This window comes from Homo sapiens, chromosome 10, assembly GCF_000001405.40.
Source record: "Homo sapiens chromosome 10, GRCh38.p14 Primary Assembly".
NCBI lineage: Eukaryota > Metazoa > Chordata > Mammalia > Primates > Hominidae > Homo > Homo sapiens.
In genome coordinates this window covers 117,001,838-117,028,036 of record NC_000010.11, presented here as the reverse complement: position 1 = coordinate 117,028,036, position 26,199 = coordinate 117,001,838, and the positions used below count along the sequence as shown (strand labels likewise).

At 40.8% G+C, this 26,199-nt stretch overlaps 1 protein-coding gene across 5 annotated transcripts in view, besides 5 other annotated features; it reads left to right on the top strand.

Annotated features, from left to right (window-relative positions):
* Positions 1-26,199, top strand: part of SHTN1 (shootin 1) — a 245,110-nt gene that overhangs the window by 98,550 nt on the left and 120,361 nt on the right. For 4 of the 5 annotated variants that reach the window (NM_001258298.2, NM_018330.7, NM_001127211.3 and 1 more), the window contains exon 1: positions 22,850-23,015. The exons of the other annotated variant lie outside the window; for it this stretch is intronic. Coding sequence is in view for 3 of the 4 variants with exons in the window: in NM_018330.7 (NP_060800.2) it covers positions 22,958-23,015 (58 nt within the window). In the remaining variant the exon portion in view is untranslated. Of the gene's footprint in view, positions 1-22,849; positions 23,016-26,199 lie in introns of those variants that run through there. 5 annotated transcript variants of the gene reach the window in all.
* Positions 22,674-22,753: a silencer, noted in NCBI's record as "silent region_2857". NCBI's record gives its function as "represses an Ori minimal core promoter by ATAC-STARR-seq in GM12878 lymphoblastoid cells {active_cell/tissue: GM12878}" and the evidence as "EXISTENCE:reporter gene assay evidence [ECO:0000049][PMID:35858748]".
* Positions 22,965-23,259: a silencer, noted in NCBI's record as "tiled region #1976; K562 Repressive non-DNase unmatched - State 1:Tss". NCBI's record gives its function as "represses a minimal TATA promoter and a strong SV40 promoter by Sharpr-MPRA in K562 cells {active_cell/tissue: K562}" and the evidence as "EXISTENCE:reporter gene assay evidence [ECO:0000049][PMID:27701403]".
* Positions 22,965-23,767: a biological region, named in NCBI's record as "Sharpr-MPRA regulatory region 1976".
* Positions 22,984-23,093: a silencer, noted in NCBI's record as "silent region_2856". NCBI's record gives its function as "represses an Ori minimal core promoter by ATAC-STARR-seq in GM12878 lymphoblastoid cells {active_cell/tissue: GM12878}" and the evidence as "EXISTENCE:reporter gene assay evidence [ECO:0000049][PMID:35858748]".
* Positions 23,074-23,767: an enhancer, noted in NCBI's record as "H3K27ac-H3K4me1 hESC enhancer chr10:118763781-118764474 (GRCh37/hg19 assembly coordinates)". NCBI's record gives its function as "activates a minimal SCP1, AML or CMV promoter by ChIP-STARR-seq in primed H9 embryonic stem cells {active_cell/tissue: H9 hESC(primed)}" and the evidence as "EXISTENCE:reporter gene assay evidence [ECO:0000049][PMID:30033119]".

The window sequence follows — 26,199 nt, the reverse complement described above, 5'->3', positions numbered from 1 at the left end:
TCACTGTCAATACCACTATCAGCAATTTGGCCACGACCATTCAACAAGTCTCTAGGAAGTTGCAAACATTCCCTCATCTTCCTGTCTTCTTCTGAGCCCTCCAAACTCTTCCAAGCTCTGCACATTACCCAGTTCCAAAGGTGCTTCCACATTTTCAGTTGTCTTTATAGCAATGCCCCACCTCTTGGTACCAACTTCCTATATTAGTCTGTTTTCATATTGCTATAAAGAAATGCCTGGGCCAGGTGCGGTGGCTCACGCCTGTAATGCCAGCACTTTGGAAGGCTGAGACAGGCGGATCACAAGGTCAGGAGATCGAGACCATCCTGGCTAACATGGTGAAACCCCGTCTCTTCTAAAAATACAAAAAATTAGCTGGGTGTGGTGGCGGGTGCCTGTAGTCCCAGCTACTTGGGAGGCTGAGGCAGGAGAATGGCATGAACCTGGGAGGCAGAGCTTGTAGTGAGCCAACATCACACCACTGCACTCCAGCCTGTGCTACAGAACGAGACTCTGTCTCAAAAGAAAAAAAAAGAAATGCCTGAGACTGGGTAATTTATTTAAAAAAAAAGGATTGCTTGGCTCATGGTTCCACATGCTGTACAGGAAGCATGATGCTGGTATCTGCTCAGCTTCTGGGGAGGCCTCAGTGGGCAGTGGAGGAGAAGCTGGCACTTCCTGTGGCCACAGCAGGAGCAAGAAGTGAGAGGGAAGTGCCACACTCTTTTAAATGACCAGATCTCATGAGAACTCACTGTCCCAAGAACAGCATCAAAGGGATGGTGCTAAACTATTCATGAGAAACCAGTCCCATGAGCCAGTCACCTCCAACCAGGCCCCCCCTCCAATGTTGGGGATTCCAACTGAACATTAGATTTGGGTGGGGATTCAGATCCAAACTATATCAATGGTCTTGGACAAGGTCCAGAAGAATTCTCTGGATTAACAGGCAGAAACTCTTGTTTTCTTCCCTTACTTTCTGCCAAACAAATGGAGTCTCTCTCTGTTCTGAGCCACCTGGAGCTGGAGGGGAAGTGACACAAGCACCCTTGTAGCCAACATCATTGGGACTGTGCTGGGTCAAAGAAGTCAGCATAGGCCTGCTCCTCACCCAAGGTCTGCTACACCCACTCCCTGGCTACCACCTATGTTCACTCAAGGCCCTGGGTCTCTACAATCAGCAGGTGGCAAAGCCAGCCAGGCCTCTGTCCTTTCCTTCAGGATGGTGAGTTCTCCCCAGCCCTGGGCAGGCCCAGAGATGCCATCTGGGAGCTGGGGACTAGAGTCAAAAGCCTTAGAAGTCTATCTGGAATTTGACCAGGCGTGGTGGCTCATGCCTGTAATCCCAGCACTTTGGGAGGCTTAGGCAGGTGGATCACTTGAGGTCAGGAGATTGACACCAGCCTGACCAACATGGTGAAACCCTGTCTCTACTAAAAATACAAAATTAGCTGGGCATAGTGGTGCACACCTGTAATCCAAGCTACTTGGGAGGCTGAGGCAGGAGAATTGCTTGAATTCGGGAGAAGGAGGTTGCAGTGAGCTGAGATTATGACATTGAATTCCAGCCTGGGCAACAAGAGTGAAACACTGTCTCAAAAAAAAAAAAAAAAGAAGTCTATCTGGATTTCTATTGTACTGTGGCTGAGCTGGTACTGAAATCACAAGACTGAGTCCTTCCCACTCTTTCTGCTCCTTTCCAAAGGCAGAGGAGCCTCATCCCGTGACCACTACCACCACAGGCCCACAGGGAGTACTGCCAGACTACTGTCAATGTTCCCTAAGGCTGAAGGGCTTTTCAGTCAGCTTGTGGTGAATGATCCTTGTCCTGGGACTCAAACTTTCAGGCAGTGGGCTCCTCTGTGACGTAGGTCAGGTTCAGTAATGCCATCTAAGAGCCAAGACCTGGAATCAGGGACCCCAGGAGCCTACTTGGTGCTCTACCTCCCTGTGGCTGAGCTGGTACCTAAGGTGCAAGACACAGTCCCCTTAAGTTTTCCCTCTGCTTTTCTCAAGTTGAAGGAGTCTTACCCTTAGCCACCACACCTGGGAATGTGCTGAGTTTCATCTGAAGCCAGCACATCTCAGAGTCTCACCCAAGGCCCTCGACATAGTATCTGGGTATTGCTGCTGGTTATTCAGGCCCAAGGGCTCTTCAGTTAGTAGGTGATGGATCCAGCTAGGACTGCATCCTTTCCTTCAAGGCAGCAGGTTCCCTTTTGGCCTAGGGTTTGTCTAGAAATGTCATCTGGGAGCTAGGGCCTGGAAAGGTGTCCTCATGACTCTTATGGGAGCCACAACCTACTGTGGCTGAGCTGGTATCCAAGATGCAAGACAAAGTTCTCCCCACTTTTCCCTCTCCTCTCCTCTCCTCAAGCGGTGGGAAGGGGTCTCTCTTGGAGCCTTGAGATGTGCAGCCTGGGGTTAGGGGAAGGGTGATGCTGACACTCCCTTAGCTGCCCTGGCTGGTGTCTCAGTAGGTTGTGTGTCCCTCAACCCCTACCACCAGTTCAGTATTTCTGGGCCCAGTTCAGCACTAGGACTCACTTAGGAGGTGCTGCCTTTGTGTCCTTAGATTGCCTTTCAAGTTTATGTAGGGTCCCAGAGCACTTTAGCCCACAGTGGCGAAGCTTGCAGGAACTCAAATTCGTACTACTGGGATCGGCAATTCTCCTCTGCCCAGGGCTGGCTTTAATGCTCCCTCCATGGGTGAGCATCAGCTGAGTTTGGTTTGATTTGTTTCCTGCTATAAGGCAGTACTGGGTCAATCCCTCTCCATGGGACACAGAAACACTCTCTGCACCACACCTCTGCTGCCAGGGGATGGGTGAGGGGTGGCATTAGTGATTCGAGACTGTTTTTCCTACCTCTCCAGTGCCTCTTTTAGTGATATGAAGTTAAAACCAGGTCCTGTGAGTTCTCACCTGATTTTTGGTTCTTATGAAAGTGTTTTTGTGTGTAGATAGTTGTTAAATTGGTGTCCTTGAAGGGGCAACTATCAGTGGAGTCTTCTCTTCTGCCATCTTGCTCCATCCGAGTCCCAGGTCTTGCATTTTTTGATGATATTGTAAATTGTATGTTTTTTTCCCCAAAATTTTATTAAGTTTTCAAGTATACAGAAAAGTTGAAAGAATTGTACAGTGAATAACCATCTATATTCCTATTGGATTCTACAATTAACATTTTTGTCTGTTTTATTACATATGCATTCATCTACTCCTGTATTCCTCCATCAATCCATCTCATTTTAAAAATGTATTTCAAAGCAAGTTGAAGACTTCAGTATATTTTAACCTAACTACTTCAGCATGTGTAGCTCAACTATAGTTCAATATTTGCTGATGATCCTTTTTTTTCTTTAAGGTAAAATTTACATGTAGGCCGGGCGCGGTGGCTCACGCCTGTAATCCCAGCACTTTGGGAGGCTGAGGCGGGCGGATCACGAGGTCAGGAGATCGAGACCATCCTGGCTAACAAATACAGTGAAACCCCGTCTCTACTAAAAATATAAAAAATTAGCCAGGCGTGGTGGTGGGCGCCTGTAGTCCCAGCTACTCGGGAGGCTGAGGCAGGAGAATGGCGTGAACCCGGGAGGCGGAGCTTGCAGTGAGCCGAGACTGCGCCACTGCACTCCAGCCTGGGCGACAGAACAAGACTCCGTCTCAAAAAAAAAAAAAAAAAAAAAAAAGAAAAGTTTTGACAAGTGTATACATCTGTACAACCTAAACCTCTATCAAGATATTGAACACTAACAACCCCAGAAAATTGCTTCATGCTCTTTTTCAGTCAATCCCTGACCCAGTCCTTCAGAGGCAACTCTGTTCAGAAATGCTTTTACTATAGGTTAGTTTTGTCTATTCTAGAATTTCATAAAATGGAACGTGTACTCTTGTGTAAGGCCGCTTCCATTCAGCATAATTTTTAAAAAAATTCAGAGTGCCTGACCACAGCAATAACCAGCCCTCATTAGGGCCCCGGATGATTTTTGGTCTAATAATGCATGCTAGCATTGATGTTGTTTGGTATGAACAGGAAGAATTATGCAGCAGGCTTTATTTTAAATGCCAATTCATATTACTCTGTTCAAGCTGAGTTGAGATGTTGAACTGATTTACTATAGACTTTGTAAAAACAGCTTCAGAAGAGTAACAAACTGAAATCTTTGAGATCACACAGGTTGGAAATACGTATATAACTACACAAGGTGTCAATTCTGCTCTGCAGTGCAGTTTTAGTCAGTTTTAGTTGCATAGGTTTCCATTGTATTTATAGTCTGTTTATGCTAAATCTGGCCAAAGATGAGCACTGTCCACCACTAAAATGGCCTCTGCCACTTTGAATTCTGTTCTAATTTTGTGGCCAGAATGTGGTGATCAAAACGCTCAATCTTTTTACAGTGGCATAGGAAGACGGCAAAAATTTCCCAAAGTGCAATAGATTTTCAAGTGTATTCTGCCTTGTTCTAAAACTTTAAGTAGGTGTACTTGACAGGATTGAGGTCATTTGTTATGGTGCTATTTCAATTAGTCTAGGTGTATGCCCTTGTACATTTTGCCCATAACTTTTTACAAAGTACTTCTTTTATTGCACATTCAGAGAATTTCATATATATATGTCTGGTATGCATGTCCTTAAACTTCCAATCTTATTTTGTCTCTTGGAGACTGTTGAATGCAGCTCATCTAGGAAGGGGATGGGACTAGATTCTAAAATTTATTTGGGACCATGGGAATGATAGTTGAGGAGAAAACTATTTGCACGTGACAGATTTCTAGATACATTTTGCTGCTAGTTTTATGTAATATTTATTGAACATTTTGACAAAGACTTATTTTTGTAAGCCTAAAAGTGGTCCTTTGAAAGTTTAAAGAAACTTGACCAAAAGACAGTATAAAAACACTGGCACTTGAATGTTGAATGTCACCATATGTGTGAAATTATATATTTTGGGGTAGCATGAGCTTTTAATGTTGTCATATTAAATTCTTAAGTCAAATTAAGCAGACCTGGCATTGGCAGTGTAGCCATAACTTTCTGATGTCAGTAAAAATAAATTGGAGACTTGAAATTAAATCATGCCAAGGTTTTGATACACTTGCATTTATTTATTTGTTTATTTTAGACAGAGTTTTGCTCTGTCACCTAGGCTGGAGTGCAGGAGTGCAATCTTGGCTCACTGCAACCTTCCCTTCCCTTCAAGTGATTCTCCTGCCTCAGCCTCCCAAGTAGCGGGGATTACAGGCACCTGCCACCATGTCTGGCTAATTTTTGTATTTTTAATAAAGACGAAGTTTCACCATGTTGGCCAGGCTGGTCTCGAACTCCTGACCTTAAGTGATCCTCCCTCCTCGGCCTCCCAAAGTACTGGGATTATAGGCATGAGCCACTGTGCCCGGCCTACACATGTTTTAAGATATTAATGAAACACTTCAAAACACTGAATACGAAGTGTCTAGATTCTCAGATGTTTGTTGTGTGAGTTTTGTTTAGTTGTGTGTATTTTTTTTTTCATGGCATATTGCAATCCTCAAACGTGGTTATCTTTGATGTATTGGCATAATCAGTGACTTATACATTCAGCAATAGCATTTAAGCAAGTTTCATCAGCAAGCAATATTTTCAACTAATAAATAAGGTTTCAAAAATAGTGTAAGGATTTAAACTTGCTGAACGTAAAGATTGAACCTCAAGTCACTGTAGCTTTAGTAATTGTTTATTGTATTGGTTTAGATATTAGCACTGCATGTACTGTGCATATTCTGGTTTTATTAAAATAAAAAGTTGAACTGCACAGTCTCAAAAAATATTCATTCAAAGTGTTGTATGTGTAAGTAGTTTGTTCCTTTTATTTTTGATTAGTATTTTATTGGATGGTGTATCACGTTAGAGATTCAGGCAGACTATATATAGAGATATAGTCAGGAGTCCAAGATCTAGAAGGCAGGCCAATAGGTTGGAAACTCAAGCAGGAATTAATGATATAGTGTTGTGGCAGAAATTCTCAGAGAGATCTGGTTTTGCTCTTAAGGCCTTATTGGGTTGGATGAGGTTCTACCCACATTATGGAGGGTAATCCGCTTTACTTTAACTGATTATAGATGTAAATCACATTTACAAAATATCTTCACAGCAATAAAGTGATTAAATAACCGGGTCCTATTCCCTAGCTAAGTCCTATACCACAGCCAAATTGCTACATAAAACTAAAACTAACCATCACAGATGGACATACTTCCATTTGTTTATCTATTAATTTGTTGATAGACCGTTGTACTTTTTCTAGTTTTTGGTATTATAACTAAAATTACTGTGAATATTTGTCTATAAGTTCTTGTATGGATAAAATATTTTCATTTTTCTCTGGCAAATACATAGGAGTGAAACTGCTATGTCATAAGGTACATGCATATTACATTTTTATAGCAAACTGCCACTAAAATTAGATTGTGGTGATGGTTGCACATCACTATGAATTTACTAAAAGTGAATTATACACTTATAGTTTTATGAATGAATTTTATGGTATGAAAATTTCCAACATGCATATACCATTTTACATTTCACTAAGAATGTATCAGAATTCTCATTTAATCTTACCATTATCAACATGGTGTTGTCAGTCTTTATAATTTCGAGATGAAGTCTCACTTTGTTGCCAGGCTGGAGTGCAGTGGCATGATCTCTGCTCACTGCAACCTCTACCTCCAGGTTCAAGTGATTCTCCTGCCTCAGCCTCCCCAGTAGGGAAAGAAGGGAGGGAGGAAAGGAGGAAGGGAGGGAGGAAGGGAGGCACGTACCACAACGCCCGGCTAATTTTTGTATTTTTAGTAGAGATGGTGTTTCACCATGTTGGCCAGGCTGGTCTTGAACTCCTGAGCTCAGGTGATCCGCCCACCTTGGCCTCCCAAAGTGCTGGGATTACAGGCGTGAGCCACCGCGCCTGGCCATCATTGTGGTTTTTACTTGTATTTCCTTGATGACTGCTGATGTTTATCCTTTCAATGCATATTGGCCATTTATATATCTTCCTTTGTGAACCTTTTGCTCATTTTTATTGGGTTTTTTTTTAATTACTGAGTTGTATTATTATTGAGTAGAAGCTCTTTATATGTCCTAGATACTGGTTGTATTTTAGATATATGTCTTGCAAATATTTTCCACTGTCTGTGGATAGTGTATTTATTTTTTAAATGATGTCACGAGCAAAACTTTTAATTTTTACAGTCAAATTTATCATTTTGTAAAATTTTGTTGCTTTTGTATCTTGTCTAAGAAACTTTTGCTTCCCTCAGGTTGAGAAGATGCTGTTTTGTGTTTTCTTCTAGAAACTTCATATCTTTTTCCTGTATATTTAGGTCCATGATTTTTCTTGAATTAGTTTTTTTTTTAATATGGTGGAGGTAGGAATTGAGGTTTGTTCTTTTCTTTATCAATATTCAGGCATTCTGTTTGTTGAAATGACTTTCTTCTCCCCATTATTTTAGCACTTTTATTGAAAATAAGATGACTTTATAAGTGTGGGTTTTTTTTTTTTTTTGAGACGGAGTCTTGCTCTGTTGCCCAGGCTGGAGGGCAGTGACACCATCTCAGCTCACTGCAACCTCTGCCACTCAGGTTCCAAGTGATTCTCCTGCCTCAGCCTCCTGAGTAGCTGGGATTACAGGCGCGTGTCACCATGCCTGGCTAATTTTTTTTTTTTTTTAATTTTTATTAGAGACAGGGTTTCACCGTGTTGGCCAGGCTGGTCTCCAACTCCTGACCTCAAGTGATTTGCCTGCCTCGGCCTCCCAAAGTGCTGGGATTACAGGCATGAGCCACCGTGCCCGGACTTCTCTCTATTTTTCTATTGACCTGTAAGTCTTTTCTTATGCCAATTCCAGACAGTCTTGATTGTAGTTTAAGTCTTCAATTCCTTTTGCATATATGAACTAAGTTTATTCTTTTGTTTCAAGATTTTTTGGTTATTCTAGATCTGTTGCCTTGCCATACATTTTAGAACCAATTTTTTATTTTCTACAAAAAAGCCTGCTGGAATTTTGATTGAAATTACATCACGTCTGTAGATGAATTTGGCATTTGAACTATATTAAGTCTTCCAATCCATACCATACCAATATACTGGGCATGGTATATCTCTTTAAATACTTGTGTCTTCTTTTATGTCTCAGCAATGTTTGTTTTCCTTTTCTTTTTCTCTTTTTTTTTTTTTTGAGACAAGGGCTCACTCTGTCACCCACTGTGGAGTGCAGTGGCATGATCATAGCTCACTGTAACCTTAACCTCCTCAAGTGGTCCTCCCACCTCAGGCTCCCAAGTTGCTGGGACTACAGGCATGTGCTACATGACCAGCTACTTTTCGTAGAGACAGGGTCTCACTGTGTTGCCCAGGCTGGTCTTGAACCTCTGGCCTCAAGCAGTTTTCCCACCTTGGCCTCCCAAAGCACTGAGATTACAAGCAGGAGCCACCACACCCAGCCTGTTTTCTTTTCTTTTTCAATATATAGATATTGTACAATTTTTGTGTTAAAGCTATTTTTTTTTAAATGTTTTTAAGGATAGGTGTGGTGGCTCATGCCTGTAATCCCAGCACTTTGAGAGGCCAAAGTAGGAGGATTGCCTGAGCCCAGGAGTTTGACACCAGGCTGGGTAACACGGTGAGGCCCTGTCTCTACAAAACTTTTAAAAATTAGCTAAGTGTGGTGGCTTGCATCTGTGGTCTCATCTACTCTGGAGGCTGAGATGGTGGAATCACTTGAGCCCAGGAGGTTGAGGCTGCAGTGAGCTGTGTTTGCACCAGAGCACTCCAGGGTGGCAGAGTGAGATCTAGTCTCAAAGAAAAAAAAAAAATTAAATTATTTTAGTTTTTTAACTGTTAATGTAAATGGAATCTTTTTTAAAATTTCAGTTTCTAGTCATTAGTTGCAATTTCATAGACATACAAGTAATTTTTTATAATGATCTGTATCCTGTGACTTTAGTAAGTCCATTTGTTCATTTTAGTAGCTTTTTTGAAAATTCCTGTAGTTTTTCTATATGTATAATTATGTCACTTGTGGATAAAGACTATTTAACTTCCTTCCTAGTTTGTATGCATTTTATTTCTTTTTCTTCCTTACTGTACTGGCTAGGATGTCCAGTATGATGTTCAATAAAAGTGGTGAGTGCAGGCCAGGCGCAGTGGCTCACGCCTGTAATCCCAGCACTTTGGGAGGCTGAGGTGGGCGGATCACAAGGTCAGGCATTCAAGACCAGCCTGGCCAACATGGTGAAAACCCCTCTCTACTGAAAAAATACAAAATTAGCTGGGCATGGTGGCGAGCATCTGTAATCCCAACTACTCAGGAGGCTGAGGCAGGAGAATTGCTTGAACCCAGGAGTCAGAGGTTGCAGTGAGCCAAGATGGTGCCACTGCACTCCAGCCTGGGTAGCAGAGCAAGACTCCATCTCAAAAAAAAAAAAAAAAAAAAATGGTGAGAGCAGACATCCAATCTTAAGGGGAGAAAAATATTTTCCTTTTTTTTTTTTTTTTAAAAAAAATACACATACACCCTTTATCAGATTGAGTAGATTCCCTTCTACTTCTAGTTTGCTGTTAGTTTTCATCATGAATTGATATTGAATATTTTCAAATGCTTTTTTTCTAAATCTATTGAGATGATATTACAGGTTTTCATTTTTACTATGTTAATATGGTAGATGCCAGTTGATGTGTAGCTTCTTATTCTGGAATAATTTTAGATTTACAGAAAAGCTGCAAAAATAATACAGAGTATACCTAGAATTCTTGTATACTCTTCACCCAGCCCACTGGGTACATAACCACAGTACATTTGTCAAAACTAAGAAATTAACATTGGTATAATACTCTTAACCAAACTAGAGACTTGATTTGGATTTTACTCATTTTTTCACTAATGCCCTTTTTCTGTTCCAGGATCCAGTCCAGAATACTACATCAATTGTAGTCATCATGTCTGCTTAGTCCCTTCTGGTCTGTGACAGTTTTTTAGTCTTCCCATGTTTTCTGTGGTCTTAGCAGTTTCGAAGATTATGGGGCAGGTATTTTGTAAAATGTCCATCAAGTTGTGTTTGTCTTTCTTTTTTTATTATTATTATTAGACTGGGGTTATGGGTTTTAGGAAAAATACCACGGAAGAGAGGTGTATTTCTCATTGCGTCATATCAATGTAAGTTAATAAATATGACTTACCACTATTGATGTTAACCTTGATCACTTAGTTAAACTGCCGTCTGCTAGGATTCGCCACTGTAAGGTTGCTATTTTTCCTTCTTCCATCTCTTATTTTTGGAAGCAAGTGACTGAATCCAGCCTACACTCAAGGAAAGGGGAGTTATACTCCAACCCCTGCGGGGGTATATTTACATACATTAGTTGGAAATCTAAAATAACACTTTTTTCCTTCTTCCTCATTAATTTTCTACTTAATCATTTATTTATATCAGTATGAACTCATGGATATTTATCTAATCTTTTGGTTAGATTGTAATACTACTGTTATTTTATTTAATTTTTTTTTTTTTTTTTGAGACGGAGTCTCGCTCTGTCGCCCAGGCTGGAGTGCAGTGGCGTGATCTCGGCTCACTGCAAGCTCTGCCTCCCGGGTTCACGCCATTCTCCTTCCTCAGCCTCCCGAGTAGCTGGGACTACAGGCACCCGCCACTGCACCCGGCTAATTTTTTGTATTTTTAGTAGAGATGGGGTTTCACCGTGTTAGCCAGGATGGTCTCGATCTCCTGACCTCGTGATCCGCCCTCCTCGGCCTCCCAAAGTGCTGGGATTACAGGCGTGAGCCACCGCGCCCGGCCTTGTTATTTGTTTTGTTGCTCAAATTTTTCTAACTGCAGCTGTTGAGAGCTCTTTCAGGTTGGTTCCTGAGTCCTTTTGACATGCCCTACATCTTTTCTTCTTTTCTTTTTCTGGCACTACAAGATGCTCTAGGTTCATCTTGTAGACCTCCTGCCACAGCCTTAGAATCAGCCATTTCTCAAAAGAGCCCTGATTCTTTCTCTTAGAGAATGGTATTCAGAAACCAAGATCTGGGTTTTGGCTATGCTCATGCTTGTGGTTTATCACTGTTTCTAGGCCTTCTCAGTGGACAAAACTAGGATATAATTATGTATATGTACATTAACCCATGCATATACATATACCTTTATGTATGTACCTATTTGTATATATTAATATCAACATGAGTTCATACTGATATCTCTCTAGCACCATAGGGTTCATTCTAGCCTTCCTTTCTTATGTTAATTCTGATACAATGTTTGTTTTATTCCAGTGCAACTGATATATTAAGGAATAATTTGGCCAGGTGCGATGGCTCACGCCTGTAATCCCAACACTTTGGGAGGCTGAGGCAGGCAGATCACCTAAGGTCAGGAGTTCAAGATCAGGCTGGCCAGCATAGTAAAACCCTGCCTCTACTAAAAATACAAAAAGTAGCCGGGCGTGGTGGCACACGCCCGTAGTTCCAGCTACTTAGGAGGCTGAGTCTGGAAAATCGCTTGAAGCCAGGAGGCAGAGGTTGCAGACAGCCGAGATTGCACCACTGCACTCCAGTCTAGGTGACAGAGCGAGACTCAGTCTCAAACAAACAAACAAACAAAAGGAATAATTTGAGCATGGTACATATTTCACATTTCTTTTGTATGATTTCATCCTTGAGGAACACTAGATGAACAGAGAAAATTGCATCCATCTAAATCAAGCCAAATTGGGATACATAAAACGCACACACAGACACACATACGCCTCAAACATCTACAACTACCTTAGTTCATCATATGTATTATCCAATAAGGTTATGTTTTGCTATTCTTTTACATTTGTGAACCTGTAAAAGAATGCCATTCTTTTACATTTTTGAACCTGTGTAAGAGTGCTATTTGTTTACATTTGTGAATCTGTATAAGAATGCTATTCTTTCACATTTGTGAAGCAGTGAGAAATATATATACCTCAAACACATCTAAATGTGTGGTTCAAAAATGCTAAGCAGTGAATGCAAAAAGAAAGCTTTAGGTATTGAGGAGAAACTTGAAATAATGAAGTGTTTATCAAAAAACAAAATAGCATAACATCTTTCAAGCATAAAGGAATCCACATTGAGGACCTTGAAGAACAATACCGTGAAAACAAAAGAAACATCTATGATGGCTTAACTTCAAATGCTATAGAGTCAATAGGAACACAGCCTGAAGAATTAGAAGAAATAGAAAGATTGTTGAGCATTTGAATTGAAAACCAAACAGGAACATTTTTTCCTACAATCAGAAAGAAAGCACTGTATATGAAGACTTTCAAAGAAATTGCCACATCTTGCAGAAGTGGTTCCATTTAGTGTAGATAGTGGCTGGATTTGTGGTTTCAAACATTACTACAGGCCGGGCACGGTGGCTCACGCCTGTAATCCCAGCACTTTGGGAGGCTGAGGCAGGCGAATTACCTGAGGTTGGAAGTTCGAGACCAGCCTGACCAACATGGAGAAATCCCGTCTGTACTAAAAATACAAAATTAGCCAGGCGTGGTGGTGCATGCCTGTAATCCCAGCTACTCAGGAGGCTGAAGCAGGAGAATCGCTTGAACCTGGGAGGCACAGGTTGTGGGGAGCTGAGATCGTGCCATTGCACTCCAGCCTGGGTGACAAGAGCAAAACTCCATCTTAAAACAAACAAACAACAACAAAAACAAAAAACCAAAACAAACAAAAAAAATTACTACAATTTCCAAAGCCTTCAGCTGTCAGCAGAGCCAGAGTCCAGCTGGGAAAGGCAAGTACAGCTGAGAAAGTAGCAAAGAAGTCCAACAGTGACACAGAAGTTAATTAAGAAGAAGGCCATTTATTGGATTGAAATTCTAACTTAGATGAAACAGATATCTGTTACAAATGCCTTCCTTGAAGGACCTGCAAATCAGTCAGGGAAAAAAAAAATGCCTCAGGATTTAAGACTTTGAAAGTACTGTGATGTTTGAATCCAACCACAAAACCAAGGATAATGAGCCACACCCATCCACATGTGCTGTTACAACTTTCCCATTGGATTTCAAATAACCCTTCTTCCATCACTTTGCAGTAACTCAAAAGCTGTAGCCTTTATGATGCCTATGTTCACAAACTTTAGGTGTTTTAAAACTAAAATACCACATTGATTGTAGCATTATGCATTTCTTAATCATTTCTTATATAAAACTATGGTACTATTTTAAAATTAGGTTCCTATTTTTGTTCTAATCTTTCACTGAATAAGTTTTTAAATGTTGTGCTACTAGCTTCATTTTTCCCATGAGACCTATGGTTTTTATTGTACAATTTTGCACAGCATAATAATTTTTAAGAACACATAAGTTGTGTTGTAGCAGAACTGACTGTAACTTCTTTCTCTTATGGTGAGAAACCTGCCTCCCATTATCTACAGTTGATTTACTTATTTATTCAACCCTACCCTACATGTAGAGTAGTTTGAGAATTGCTAACCCATACTCTAGAGAGAGGTAGATTTGCCAGCTAGAAGGGTGCTGATGTATGGTTCCTTTTGTCTTCAGCCTTACGGTGTCCAGTCAAAGTACAGTTATCCAAAGTTTCTTAAGTCAGATCCTTTCCCCCATCCCTTCCCCTTCAGTAAGGTAATGTCATATATTAGTAATATGGTTCGATTTATTTGTCATTTTCTGCATTCTATCCTGGGATTTCCCTATCTTGGCTGACTTGTTATTAAATTTGCATGCAGCAAAGTCCATTTTTGGGATGTATACCTCTTTGGATTTTGACAAGTGCATTGAGTCATCTATCCAACACCCCTGTACCATACAGAATAATTCTATCACCCTAAAAATTCCCTTGTATTCCCCCTTTATATTCAACCCTTCCATTCGTCCTCAACCCCTGGTAGCCATGATCTGTTTCTTATTTTTATAGTTTTGCCTTTTCATGATGTCATATAAATTGAACCATATTGTATATAGCCTTCTGGGTCTGGATTATTAAATTTAACAGAATGCATTCAAGATCTGTATACACTGTATCCACTCAGTAGCTCATTCTTTTAAAATTGATGTATATATTCCATTTTATGGAAAAAAAATATATATATACACACACACATATTTGGAAGATATATATATTTGTTCATTCACCTATTGAGGGACATCTTGGCTTTTTCCAGTTATTGGTGATTATTAATAAAGCTGTTATAAACATTTGTATATGGGTTTTTCTGTGAACATAAGTTTTCCGCTCATTTGGGTAAGCCCCGGGAGTGGAACCACCAAGTTGTATGGCAAATGTATTTCTAATTTTATAAGGAACTGCTAAGTTGTCTTTCAAAGCGGCTGTACCATTTAAAATAGCTACCTGCAATTAAAGAGGGTTACTGTTGCTCTGTGTCTTTCTCAGCATTTGGGATTGTTCCTTTTTTATTTTAGCCATCCTAATAGATACATAGTATTATATCATTGTTGTTTTAACTTGCATTTCACTAGTGACAAATAATGTTGAGCATCTTTTCATGTGCTTATTTTCCATTTAAAAATATTTTTCTGGGCCAGGCATGGTGGCTTATTCCTGTAATCCCAGCACTTTGGGAGGCCGAGGTGGGCAGATCACCTGAGATCAAGAGTTTGAGATCAGCCTGGCCAACATAGTGAAACCCTGTCTCTACTAAAAATACAAAAATTAGGTGGGCGTGGTGGCGGGTGCCTGTAGCCCAGCTACTGGGGAGGCTGAGGCAGGAGAATCACTTGAACCAGGGAGGCAGAGGTTGCAGTGAGCCGAGATGGTACCACTGCACTCCAGCCTGGGACACAGAGCAAGACTCAGTCTCAAAAAATAAATAAATAAATAAACTTCTTTTGGTAAAGTATCTGTTTATATATTTTGCCAATTAATCTTTTTTACTTTTGACTTATTTTAATATTTATTTTTAAAAAAATTTATATAGTTTTTAGAGATGGGGTCTTGTTCTGTTGCCCAAGCTGGAATGCAGTGGTTCACTGCAGCCTTAAACTTCTAGGCTCAAAATCCTCCAGCTCAGCCTTCTGAAGAGCTGAAATTACAGGCACAAGCCACTACATTGGCTCTTATTGTTGGAGTTTTAAGAGTACTTTAAATATTTAGAATACAAAATATTAATATGTGATTTATTTAATGTGTGATACAAAATATTAATATGTGATTTTTAAAATGTGAATTAATATGTAATTTGTAAATATTTTCCCTCATCTATGGCAGGTATTGTTAATCTGTTTCTTTTATCTTTCATAAAATCTAATTTATCAATTCTTTTATTGATTACGCTTTTGGCATCGTATTTAAAAACTAATTGCCAGACTTTAGGTTACACGGTTTTTTCTCTTGTGTCTCATTTTTAAAGTTTTACTGTTTCAGGTTTTACATTTTGGTCTATTATCCATTTTGAGTTAATTTTTCTATGAGGCATGTGTTGCGGCTCCTTTTTATAAAAAAAAGAAAGGATGTCCAGTTGATCTAGCACCAAGTTTTGAAAAGACTTTTTTTTTCCCATTGAATTGGTTTTGTTACTTTGCAGAAAAAAAGTGATTCACTATATTTGTGTGGATCAACTTTTGGGATGGTTAATGCATCTTCCTTTTGCCAATACTACATTGTCTTAATTATTGTAGCTTTATAGTTAGTCTTGGAAATCAGGTAGCGTGAGTCCTCCAACTTTGTTCTTATTCAGAATTGTTTTGGCTATTCTAGTTTTTGTTTTGTTTTGTTTTTTGCCTTTCCATAATACATTTTATGATCAGCTTGGATTTGGATTGGGATTGCATTGGATCTATAGGTTAAATTTGGAAGAATTGACATTTTAGCAATATTGAGGGTTTTTTTTCCTTTTTCTCTTTTTTTTTTTTTTTGAGATGGAGTCTCATTCTGTCGCCCAGGCTGGAATGCAGTGGCGCGATCTCGGCTCACTGCAAGCTCCACCTCCCGGGTTCACGCCATTCTCCTGCCTCAGCCTCCGGAGTAGCTGGGACTACAGGCCCCGCCACCACGCCTGGCTAATTTTTTGTATTTTTATTAGAGACAGGGTTTCACCGTGTTAGCCAGGATTGTCTCGATCTCCTGACTTCGTGATCCGCCCTCCTCGGCCTCCCAAAGTGCTGGGATTACAGGCGTGAGCCACCGCGCCCCGCCTGAGTTTTCTAATTCATGAACATAATATATCTCTCCATTTATTTAGATACTCTTTGATTTTTTTCATCAGCATTTTATACTTTTTGGCATCTAGATCTTTCACATATTTTGCTAGATTTATACCTAAGTGCTTCAGTATTTTTAGTGCTATTGTAAATGTTATTAATTTTTAATGTCAAATTCTAATTGTTCATTGCTGGTGTATGGAATACAGTTGACTTTTGCATTTGTCTAATGACTAATGATGTTGAGCATCTTTTCAAGGGCTTATTGACCTTGTATCCTGTAACCTCACTAAACTCAAGTATTTGTTTTAGAAGCATTTAAAGAAATTCTTTGGTATTTTCCACATAGGAAATTTTGCCATCTATGAATAGAGATGGTACTGGCATAAGGACAGACATATTGACTAATAGAATAAAATAGAGAGCCCCAAAATAAATCCTCATGTATATCACCAGTTGATTTTCAACAAGGGTACCAAGACCACTCAATGGGGAAAGGACAGCCATTTAACAAGTGGTATTGGGAAAAGTAGATATCCACATGCAAAAGACTGAAGTTGGTATGAAGGTAGAAAAGGCCTAACAAAAATTAACTAAAAATGGACCAAAGACCTAAACTTAAGAGCTAAATTCAGCTAAAACTACTGAATTCATCTATTAGCTCTAGTAGCTTTTTCACAGATTATTTGGGATTTTCTCTATATAGCTATATGTCATATGTGAATAGAGATAGCTTTACGTCCTCCTTTCCAACTTGGATGCCTTTTCTTTCTTTTTCTTGTCTAATTGAACTTGCAGCACACTGTTGAATAGCAGTGATGAAAGCACATATTCTTGTCTCGTTCCTAATTTCAGGGGGAAAGCTTTCAGTCTTTCACCATTGACCATGATTATAGCTGTGGCTTCTTTACAGATGCCCTTTATCATGGTGAGGATGTTCCATCTATTACTGGTTTGCTAAGAGTTTTTATGGTGAAACGATGCTGACTTTTGTCAAATGCCTTTTCTGTCTCAATTGAGATGATCACCTGGTTTTTTTCCTATTAATGTGACATATTACATTGATTGATTTTCTTATGTTGAACCACTTTTGCATTCCTGGAATAAGTACTACCTGGTCGTGGTGTATAATCCTTTTAATGTGTTGTTGGATTTGGTTTGTTAGTATTTTGTTGAGGATTTTTGCAACCATATTCATAAGAGAAATTGGTGTGTACATTTCTTTTCTTTGTGATATCCTTATCTGGCTTTGGTATCACAGAAATGCTGGCCTCATAGAATGAGTTAGGAAGTGTTCTCTCCTTTTTTGTGTTTTAGAAAAGTTTGAGAAAGACTGGTGTTAATTCTTTAAATGTTTGATAGAATTCACCAGGAAAGACATCTGGGCCTGAACTTATTTTCATTGAAGGGTGTCTTTCTTTTCTTTTCTTTTCTTTTTTTAATACTTTCTGAATTACTCTACTTATAATAGTTCTGCTGAAATTTTCTTTTTCAGTTAGTTTAGGTGACTTGTGTGTTTCTGGGAATTTGTCCATTTCTTCTAGGTTATTTAATTTGTTGACATATAATTGTTCTTATTATTCTCTTAGAATCCTTTTTATTTCTGAATCATTGGTATTACTGTCCCCATTTTAATATCTGATTTTCATATTTCTTTTTTTTCTTCGTTAATTTAGGGAAAGGATTGTCAATTTTGATACTTTCAAAGAAATAGCTTTTTATTAATTCTATTATTTTTCTATTGTCTTTTATTTTATCTCCACTCTAATCTTCATTATTTTATTCCTTCTGCTAACTTTAGGTTTATTTTGCTTGTCTATTTTCTCAAGGTGTACAGTTACCTTATTGATTTTGTATCTTTCTTTTATAATGTAGTAATTAGAACTATAAATTTCTCTCTGAGCACTGTCTTCACGGTATTCCATAAGTTTTTTTTTTCTTTTCCTTTTTTTTGAGACAGTCTCACTCTGTCGCCCAGGCTGGAGTGCAGTGGCGCGATCTCGGCTCATTGCAAGCTCCGCCTTCCGGGTTCATGCCATTCTCCTGCCTCAGCCTCCCAGTAGCTGGGACTACAGGCGCCCGCCACCACGCCCGGCTAATTTTTTGTATTTTTAGTAGAGACGGGGTTTCACAGTGTTAGCCAGGATGGTCTCAATCTCCTGACCTCGTGATCTGCCCGTCTCGGCCTCCCAAAGTGCTGGGATTACGGGCTTGAGCCACCGTGCCCAGCTTGTATATATGTTTATAGTAATTATATATTCTTACCGAATCAACCCTTTTGTGAATATAGACTTTTGTTTATTGTAACAGTTTTTGACTTAAAGTCTGTTTTGTCTGATATTAATATAACCACCCCAACTCTCTTTTGGTTACTAATTAAATTTTTTCCTACCATTTTGCTTTAAATCTATTGTTGTCTTTGGATCTAAAATAAATATTTTGTAGACATCATATAGTTAGATCATACTTTTTTTTGCATCCTGCCAGTGTTTGCCTTTTGGAGAGTTTAAGCCATCTTCATTTAAAGTTACAGTTAATAAGAAATGACTTATTTCTGCAATTTTGCTATGTATTATCTATATGTCTTATAGCTCTTTTGCTCTTCATTTGCTTCATTATTGCCTTATTTTATACTTAGTTTTTAAAAAAATGTGTATGTTTTTGGTAATCATTTTGACTTCTTTCTCCTTTCCTTTTGTGCATATTTGGTTGATATTTTCTTTTCTTTTCTTTTTTTTGAGACAGAATTTTGCTCTTGTTGCCCAGGCTGGAGTGCAATGGCACGATCTCGGCTCATTGCAACCTCCTCCTCCTGAGTTCAAGTGATTCTCCTGCCTCAGCCTCCTGAGTAGCTGGGATTACAGGCATGTGCCACCACGCCCAGCTTATTTTTTATATTTTTAATAGAGATTGGGTTTCTTCATATTGGTCAGGCTGGTCTCAAACTCCTGACCTCCGGTGATCCACCCGCCCTGGCCTCCCAGAGTACTGGGATTACAGGCGTGAGCCACAGCGCCCGGCCAATTCTATAGTTTTGAGTATATTCAGAGAATTGTACAACCATTACCACAATTAATTTTAGAAAATTTGTATTACCCCAACAATTAACCACACACCTATCAGCAGCCATTCCCTGTTTTCTCCCAGACCTCCCCTACTTTCACCCCACCTCAGTAGATACTCACCAATCAACTTTCTCCCTCTATGGATTTGCCTGTTGTGATCATTTTATACAAGTGCAATCATACAATATCTGGTCTTTTCTGATCAAGTTTTCACTGAGTATAATGTTTTCAAATTTCATCTGTGTTGTACCATATATCAGTACTTTATTTTTATTACCAAATAATATTCCAATATTGCCATTTTCATATGATAATTAACATTACATTAAATAGCTCTGTACATAAGCCTTTTAGGATAGATTCCCTGATATAGAATTAGTGGATCAAAGACAGTGAACCTTCTTCTCCTCATTGTATTTCAATCTTATTTATCTGTATACCTCAAAAGATGACATATGTGATTTTACTTTAATTACCTGAAAAATTAAATAAAGATTAAAGAGAAACTCCTTCTTGACCACTGCACTTTCACACTCCAACCCCCACACCTTGGTCCTGTTCCCCTACTTTCTATCCCTAGAGACAGCCATTATCCTGAGTTTGGCACATATTCTTCCAATTCATTTTTTAAAAGTCTGTCCTTTATCTCTATGTATATATTTGTATATATATATGTAAACACACACATTTTTAAGGGTTTTAAATGACCTGTTATTTGGAGGTCAATAGTAACTCCAACGTGATGCCTGCAACATAAATCACTATGTATATTATTATTATTGAGATGGAGTCTCGCTCTGTCACCCAGGCTGGAGTGCAGTGGCATGATCTCGGCTCACTGCAACCTTCGCCTCTCGGGTTCAAGTGATTCTCCTGCCTCAGCCTCCCGAGTAGCTGGGACTACAGGTGCCCGCCACCACACCCAGCTTTTTTTATTTTTAGTAGAGACAGGGTTTCACCGTGTTAGCCAGGATGGTCTCAATCTCCTGACCTCGTGATCTGCCCGCCTCGGCCTCCCATAGCCATCACTCTGTATATTATTAAACGGAACAAAAACTAATTTATCACTTCTATCCTTTCCATCAATATTCATATCATATAAATAAACAATAGTGTAATGGGAGAACTGAATCCCAATAAGGACTCTAATAGCCCTCCTAATAATTCATACCATGTCCTCAAGTGAATGCCATATTGTATTTCAGGAGTTTTTTTTTTTTTTTTTTTTTTTTTTGAGATGGAGTCTCACTCTGTCACCCAGGCTGCAGTGCAGTGGCAGAATCTCAGCTCAGGAGCCTTTTCTAATTTTAAGGAGGATAAATGGGATTAATTGCAAGAGGCCGCAGATTTAGTATGGAACCAAAAGTTTGATTATAGATTTGATAATTAACTCATTCTTAAACTCCAGAAATACTATCTAACTACTGTATAATTGGAGTAGACAAATCAGCCATTAAAAAAAAATGGAACTTTGTGAACTAAGCCAAATATTTAATGGGCACTCTGCTTGTATTTGGTAGAGTGAGAGAGAATGAGTCAGGATGACTCATCAGGTTTAACAGGTTTCCCAACTGCTGGACAAAAGCTAAATGTCCATTATTTTTCATTAAAATCTCCCGGATTTTTTTATTATTATCTCCTGGGGATCTTCATGGCAGCTATCTGCAACTATCTTGAATTATCTTACGCATACCTAGGGAAAGGGCTGAATAATACAATCCCATATCAAAATTATTTTTAAACTTTAAACATTTTAATACACTGTATTAAAAAATACTATGCTGCCCTTTTAGATCATTCTACCCCTAAATCACTCATGCTAAAGTACTATATTGCCATTTTAGAGAAAGAGAAAGCAGTGCTACCATTTTTTTTTTCAAAATTTTAGTTAGCATGTAGTGAGTATCAGAAAGACACTAGTTACAGGATTTACCCATATCTCAACCTCACTCTACAACTATCATGGAGAAATGAACACAAGAAATGGAGCTGGGCACTTCCATAAAACAGCAATTGAGGAATGAGCAGCACTGTGCTGTTGCTGTACCCAAACTAAGAGCTTAGAGGTAGTGAGAAAAACCAAGCTGTGCAATAAGTCTAATTCAGTTTGGACTTATCTCCCATGCTTAATGATCAGTGTAAAAGAACTGCAACCTTCAGCTTATAGTCAGCAACCACAACCCCTTTCTCACAGACCTGTAATTTTTTTTTTTTTTTTTTTTTGAGACGGAGTCTCACTCTGTCACCCAGGCTGGAGTGCAGTGGCGCGATCTCGGCTCACTGCAAGCTCCGCCTCCCGGGTTCACGCCATTCTCCTGCCTCAGCTTCCCGAGTAGGTGGGACTACAGGCGCCTGCCACCACGCCCGGCTAATTTTTTGTATTTTTAGTAGAGACGGGGTTTCACCGTGTTAGCCAGGATGGTCTCGATCTCCTGACCTCGTGATCTGCCCGCCTTGGCCTCCCAAAGTGCTGGGATTACAGGCGTGAGCCACTGTGCCCGGCCACAGACCTGTAATCTTTATTAAAAACAAAAAAACAAAAAAAAAACAAAAAAAAACTGCATTATAAATTCTGGACTTGGTGTTTTGTTAATCTTCCTCTATTAAATCCTTACAACTCTTCCTTGAGAGTAGGTATCACTATTCTTCCTATTCTTCAGATGAAGTTCAAAGATGCAGGAGACTTGACCAAAGGTTAGCTCGCAACTAGGGGTTGGGGAGAAGCACCTTTGAAACAATGCAGACCTGCCACTTCTCTCCTGGGCATGGTCTAACACAGACATGAGTTCAAATAGTTCAGAGGGCAGTGAACTGGGACAAACGCTTGGCTTAACTGCCAGCCTCTGCTGCCCGGGGGCTGCGTGACCTTCGGCATTCGGACTGCAGTGGCACCCTCTCTAAAGGGAAGGTCATCCCGCCACCAACCAGATGATCTGCAAGGGCCCTCCAGGCCCCACCATCCACGTGCAGCAGGGTCCACGTTCTGACCACCTGGCAAACCTGGTGCGATGGGGGAAAGCTAGCCAGGGCCCTCCTTCACTCACGGCATGGTCATTTAAGTAGCTGGGCGGCCTGATTCGATCCTTGTCTCCTCTTCAAGGTGCAAAATGTACCACCCTGGGCCCGCCCCTGTGGGCAGCTAGGTTTTGCAACCGCGCCCCCAGAGTCTACTGCGGGAAAACTAGGGAAGAAGCCCAGGCGTTCATGGCTCATTGCGTCCCGCTCTACCTCTGTGGTTCTTTGGGAGCGACCCCCGGGAAGCGTCCAAAGTGGAGTTCCCACACACGCTGCGAACCCACAGCCGGTTTTCTCTGAACTCGCGTCCCTGAGTCCGGGAGGTGGAGGCGGAGAAAAGGGTGCGGAGCGACCCCACGCAGGGCCGCCCCCCCTCCCACCAGCGCGTCCTGCCGCGCCGGCAGCCACAGGCTGGCATAGCGGCTGCCGACCCGCCCTCGTTCCTCCACCCCCTGAACGGGACTGCTGGGCCCGCCCCGCCCCGCCTGCAGGTGAAGCGGCCGCAGCCGCCGAGTAGGTGCGTGGGGATGATCTCACTCGCGCGCTCCGCGCCAGGAGGAGGAGGAGCGGGAGCGGATCCAACTTCCGGGTAGTGGAGCCGCAAGCCACCGGCATCTTGCTTTTTCTTCCCCCTCCTCCTGTGTGCCCCGCGCCGCTCCCTCTTTCCCTTTTATTCCCGGCCCCACCCGCCAAAATGAACAGCTCGGACGAAGAGAAGCAGCTGCAGCTCATTACCAGTCTGAAGGAGCAAGGTAGGCAGCACGCGGGCGCCAGGTGTGGGCAGCCGCGGCCCGTGGGCGGGGACGGCCCCAGGGCGCTGGGGCCAGGGCAGTTGGAAGCCGGGCGGGAGACGTGGCGGCCGCCGTGGTCACCGCAGTAGCTCCGTCACCCGCAGAGAAGCGTCCTCCGTGGCCGGCGCGCCTGGGAAAGCTCTGGACCGAGGATAACGCGGAGTGTCGGGGCTAGTCAGGCCCCGCAGCTCGAGACCCGCTGCCCGCTGGTTGCGTTTGCTGGCGATCGGGGGCTGGGGGAAGGGACGAGGATTCAGTGCGGACGAGGTTGCACAGTGCCACCTTCCTTGCCGGAGAAGCGGGTGGGGCAGGATATTTTGGCTGCTTTGGGCGGCTCAGCTAGCTTGGCCCCACCCTTACACATTTGTTGGCGCTGGGTGGCCTGTAGGGCTGTTTCACACCCTTCCCAGCTTTTCGTTTGGATTCGGTCTAGTTCCTCTTTCCTTGCCCAGCTGGGATTTTCAGGCCATAATTTTTTTTTTAATCACTTCTCAATTTTAGCAGTTTATTAGTCAGCAAGGTCAACATCCTGCCAGTGTTGAGCTTTCAGAATTAACAGGGTTGACGCTGGGCGAAGGAGAGCCAGGCCATGCGCACGCATTTCTGTACTGCTTGGTAACTGGGGATTATCCTTTAATAAAGACCTGCTTCAGTCAATCATTTTTTTCATCAGTTACCACACTTCTGAACCAAACCAGATCAACAACCAAATGCTAACCTATCACATTTAAACACTTATCATTATTACCCTGACCAAAGGGTGGTCTGCGAATGTGGGTCAAGACAGGGAGGAACCAGCCGGGTGCGGTGGCTCACGCCTGTAATCTCAGCAATTTGGGAGGCCGAGGCAGGTGGATCACCTAAGGTCAGGAGTTCGAGACCAGCCTAACCAACATGGAGAACCCCTATCTCTACTAAAAATACAAAATTAGCCGGGCGTGGTGGTGCATGCCTGTAATCCCAGCTACCCGGGAGGCTGAGGCAGGAGAATCGCCAGGAGGCGGAGGTTGCGGTGAGCCAAGATGGCGCCGTTGCACTCCAGCCTGGGCAACAAGAACGAAACTCCATCTCCAAAAAAAAATAATAATAATAAATAATAAAGAAATAAAGGGAGGAACCATACAGATTTAAAGGAAGTAAAAATGTGTAGGAACATGTACTTTTCTGAATGTCTTGCTGACAAGACCATGTAATGGAAGGATCCCTGCTCTGTGGCAAAACCTGGTATTTAGTTGCAGCTCTTTCACTTCTCTTGGCCCAGCTCACCTGCTCTGTGAACTTGGAGGAGTCTCTTTCCTTCCGTGGATCTTCTGGTCAATCAAGGCCGACCTGACTAAAGGCGAGGGTGAAACTGGAGGACTTTCTGAGGTCCTGTCCAGTACTCTTACCTGTTGTTGCGTAAAACCACAGACACCGTTGGGAAGTGCTCCCGGATTCCTCTGAAGCCACACTCTGGCAAACAAATTTCAACATTACTGTTTACTGTGTGACCCTGGGGAAATTATTTAACCTCTGAAATGGACATAACACATTCTTCTGTGATATCCAGCATCTAGAAAGTGCTGGATAAATGTTAGTCTCTTTGGCCTTCCCAGCACCTTTACCTGGCATCCTAGATTAGCCTGAGGTCATAAAGTCACAAGCATCAGTGAATTTAGTGGGTGGACAGAATGCCTTTATCTGAAGTTTCTCAAGTGTTTTAGCGAGGGACTGGATTCTACTGACTGGTATTTTATATTTAATACACCTTCGCCCAACCCAAAACATTAAAACTTGATTCATATTCTAGATTTGTGGAGCTTTCATTATAGGTAATATCTGTCAGTGGATATCAGATCTTCTTATGGTTGGTCAGTTTTCGAATAATGATAAACATAAAAAAATTTTCCCTTTCATTTCTTGTATAATCAAGGGTCGATTAACAATGTAGATAATCTGCAAATTGCTTATATTTGATTTCGGAACACATTCTCCATTCCTATGTTGGGTTTGAGGCCTGACAAAAAGGATTTCTATATTTGTGGCTCTTTCTCCTATTGCATTGTATTGGAAAATAAACAAATCCTTGGCATTGGTATTTTTAGAGGATATATTTCCTTGATTAAGTGCATATGAAAGGTAATAGAACAGTTAGATATTCAAAGTTGTGTTTCTTAAAAGGTACACTTTTGGGGATAGTGAGTCTAGTTACAAAGGTGTTGGGATTTTTTCAGCCCACAGTGTGATTTTTATACATTTCAAAACCAGGTAGTTTGCTTGTCATTGGATCACAGACTGTGGAAACAATTTACTTCAAAAGTGTTCAGTTACTGTTTGACCTGTAGAACTAATTGGGAAGCTAGGGATTTGGAAGAACAGGTAACTGGGTCTTTGAGCATTTAACAGTACATACTATGATCAATTTTGTAAGCTGATGGTTGCATGGTTTATTTTTGAAAATAGTAATTTTTACTACCTGTTACTACCTTTTTACTCACAATGTTAATATTCTGAGTGATAATTCCACTACCCCTATTTAGTGTGAGCAAGAAGAACCACTATTTATCAAATATGTTATTTTCCCTTAATAATGCTGAGTAAACATATTTATTCATTCCTTCAACAAATACTTATCAAGTACCACCATATGTCAGGTCCATGTGGTAGGCACTAGGGGTGTAAATAGTGAACTACACAGTCCTTGTCACCAAATTAATTTTCTAGAAGAGAAGACAGGTACTATTCAAGTTATCATATGAATAAATGTACAATTACTTTTTTATTCTAGGATAGATTCTTAGAAGAAATGGAATTGTTGGATTAGAGGGCACGGACATTTACTTTTGCTAGACATTGCAAAAGTGCCCTCCAAAATGATTATACCAGTTCAGATATCCTTCAGCAGTACCCATTTCCCCACACATTGGTCAACTCTGGCTAATAGCAATCTTTATTCATTTGATGGCCTGACAAGTTTTTGAATTTTTGCCAATCTAATGGGCAGAATGTTACCTTTTAAGATTTGCATTGCTCTGGTTATTAGTGATGTTTGAAATCTTTTTACATGGCCATTGGCCATTTAGGTTTCATCATATGGGTCCTTCCTTAGTGATTTTTTTTTAAACTGATACATGAGACTTGTACATATTTATAGAAGACATGGGGT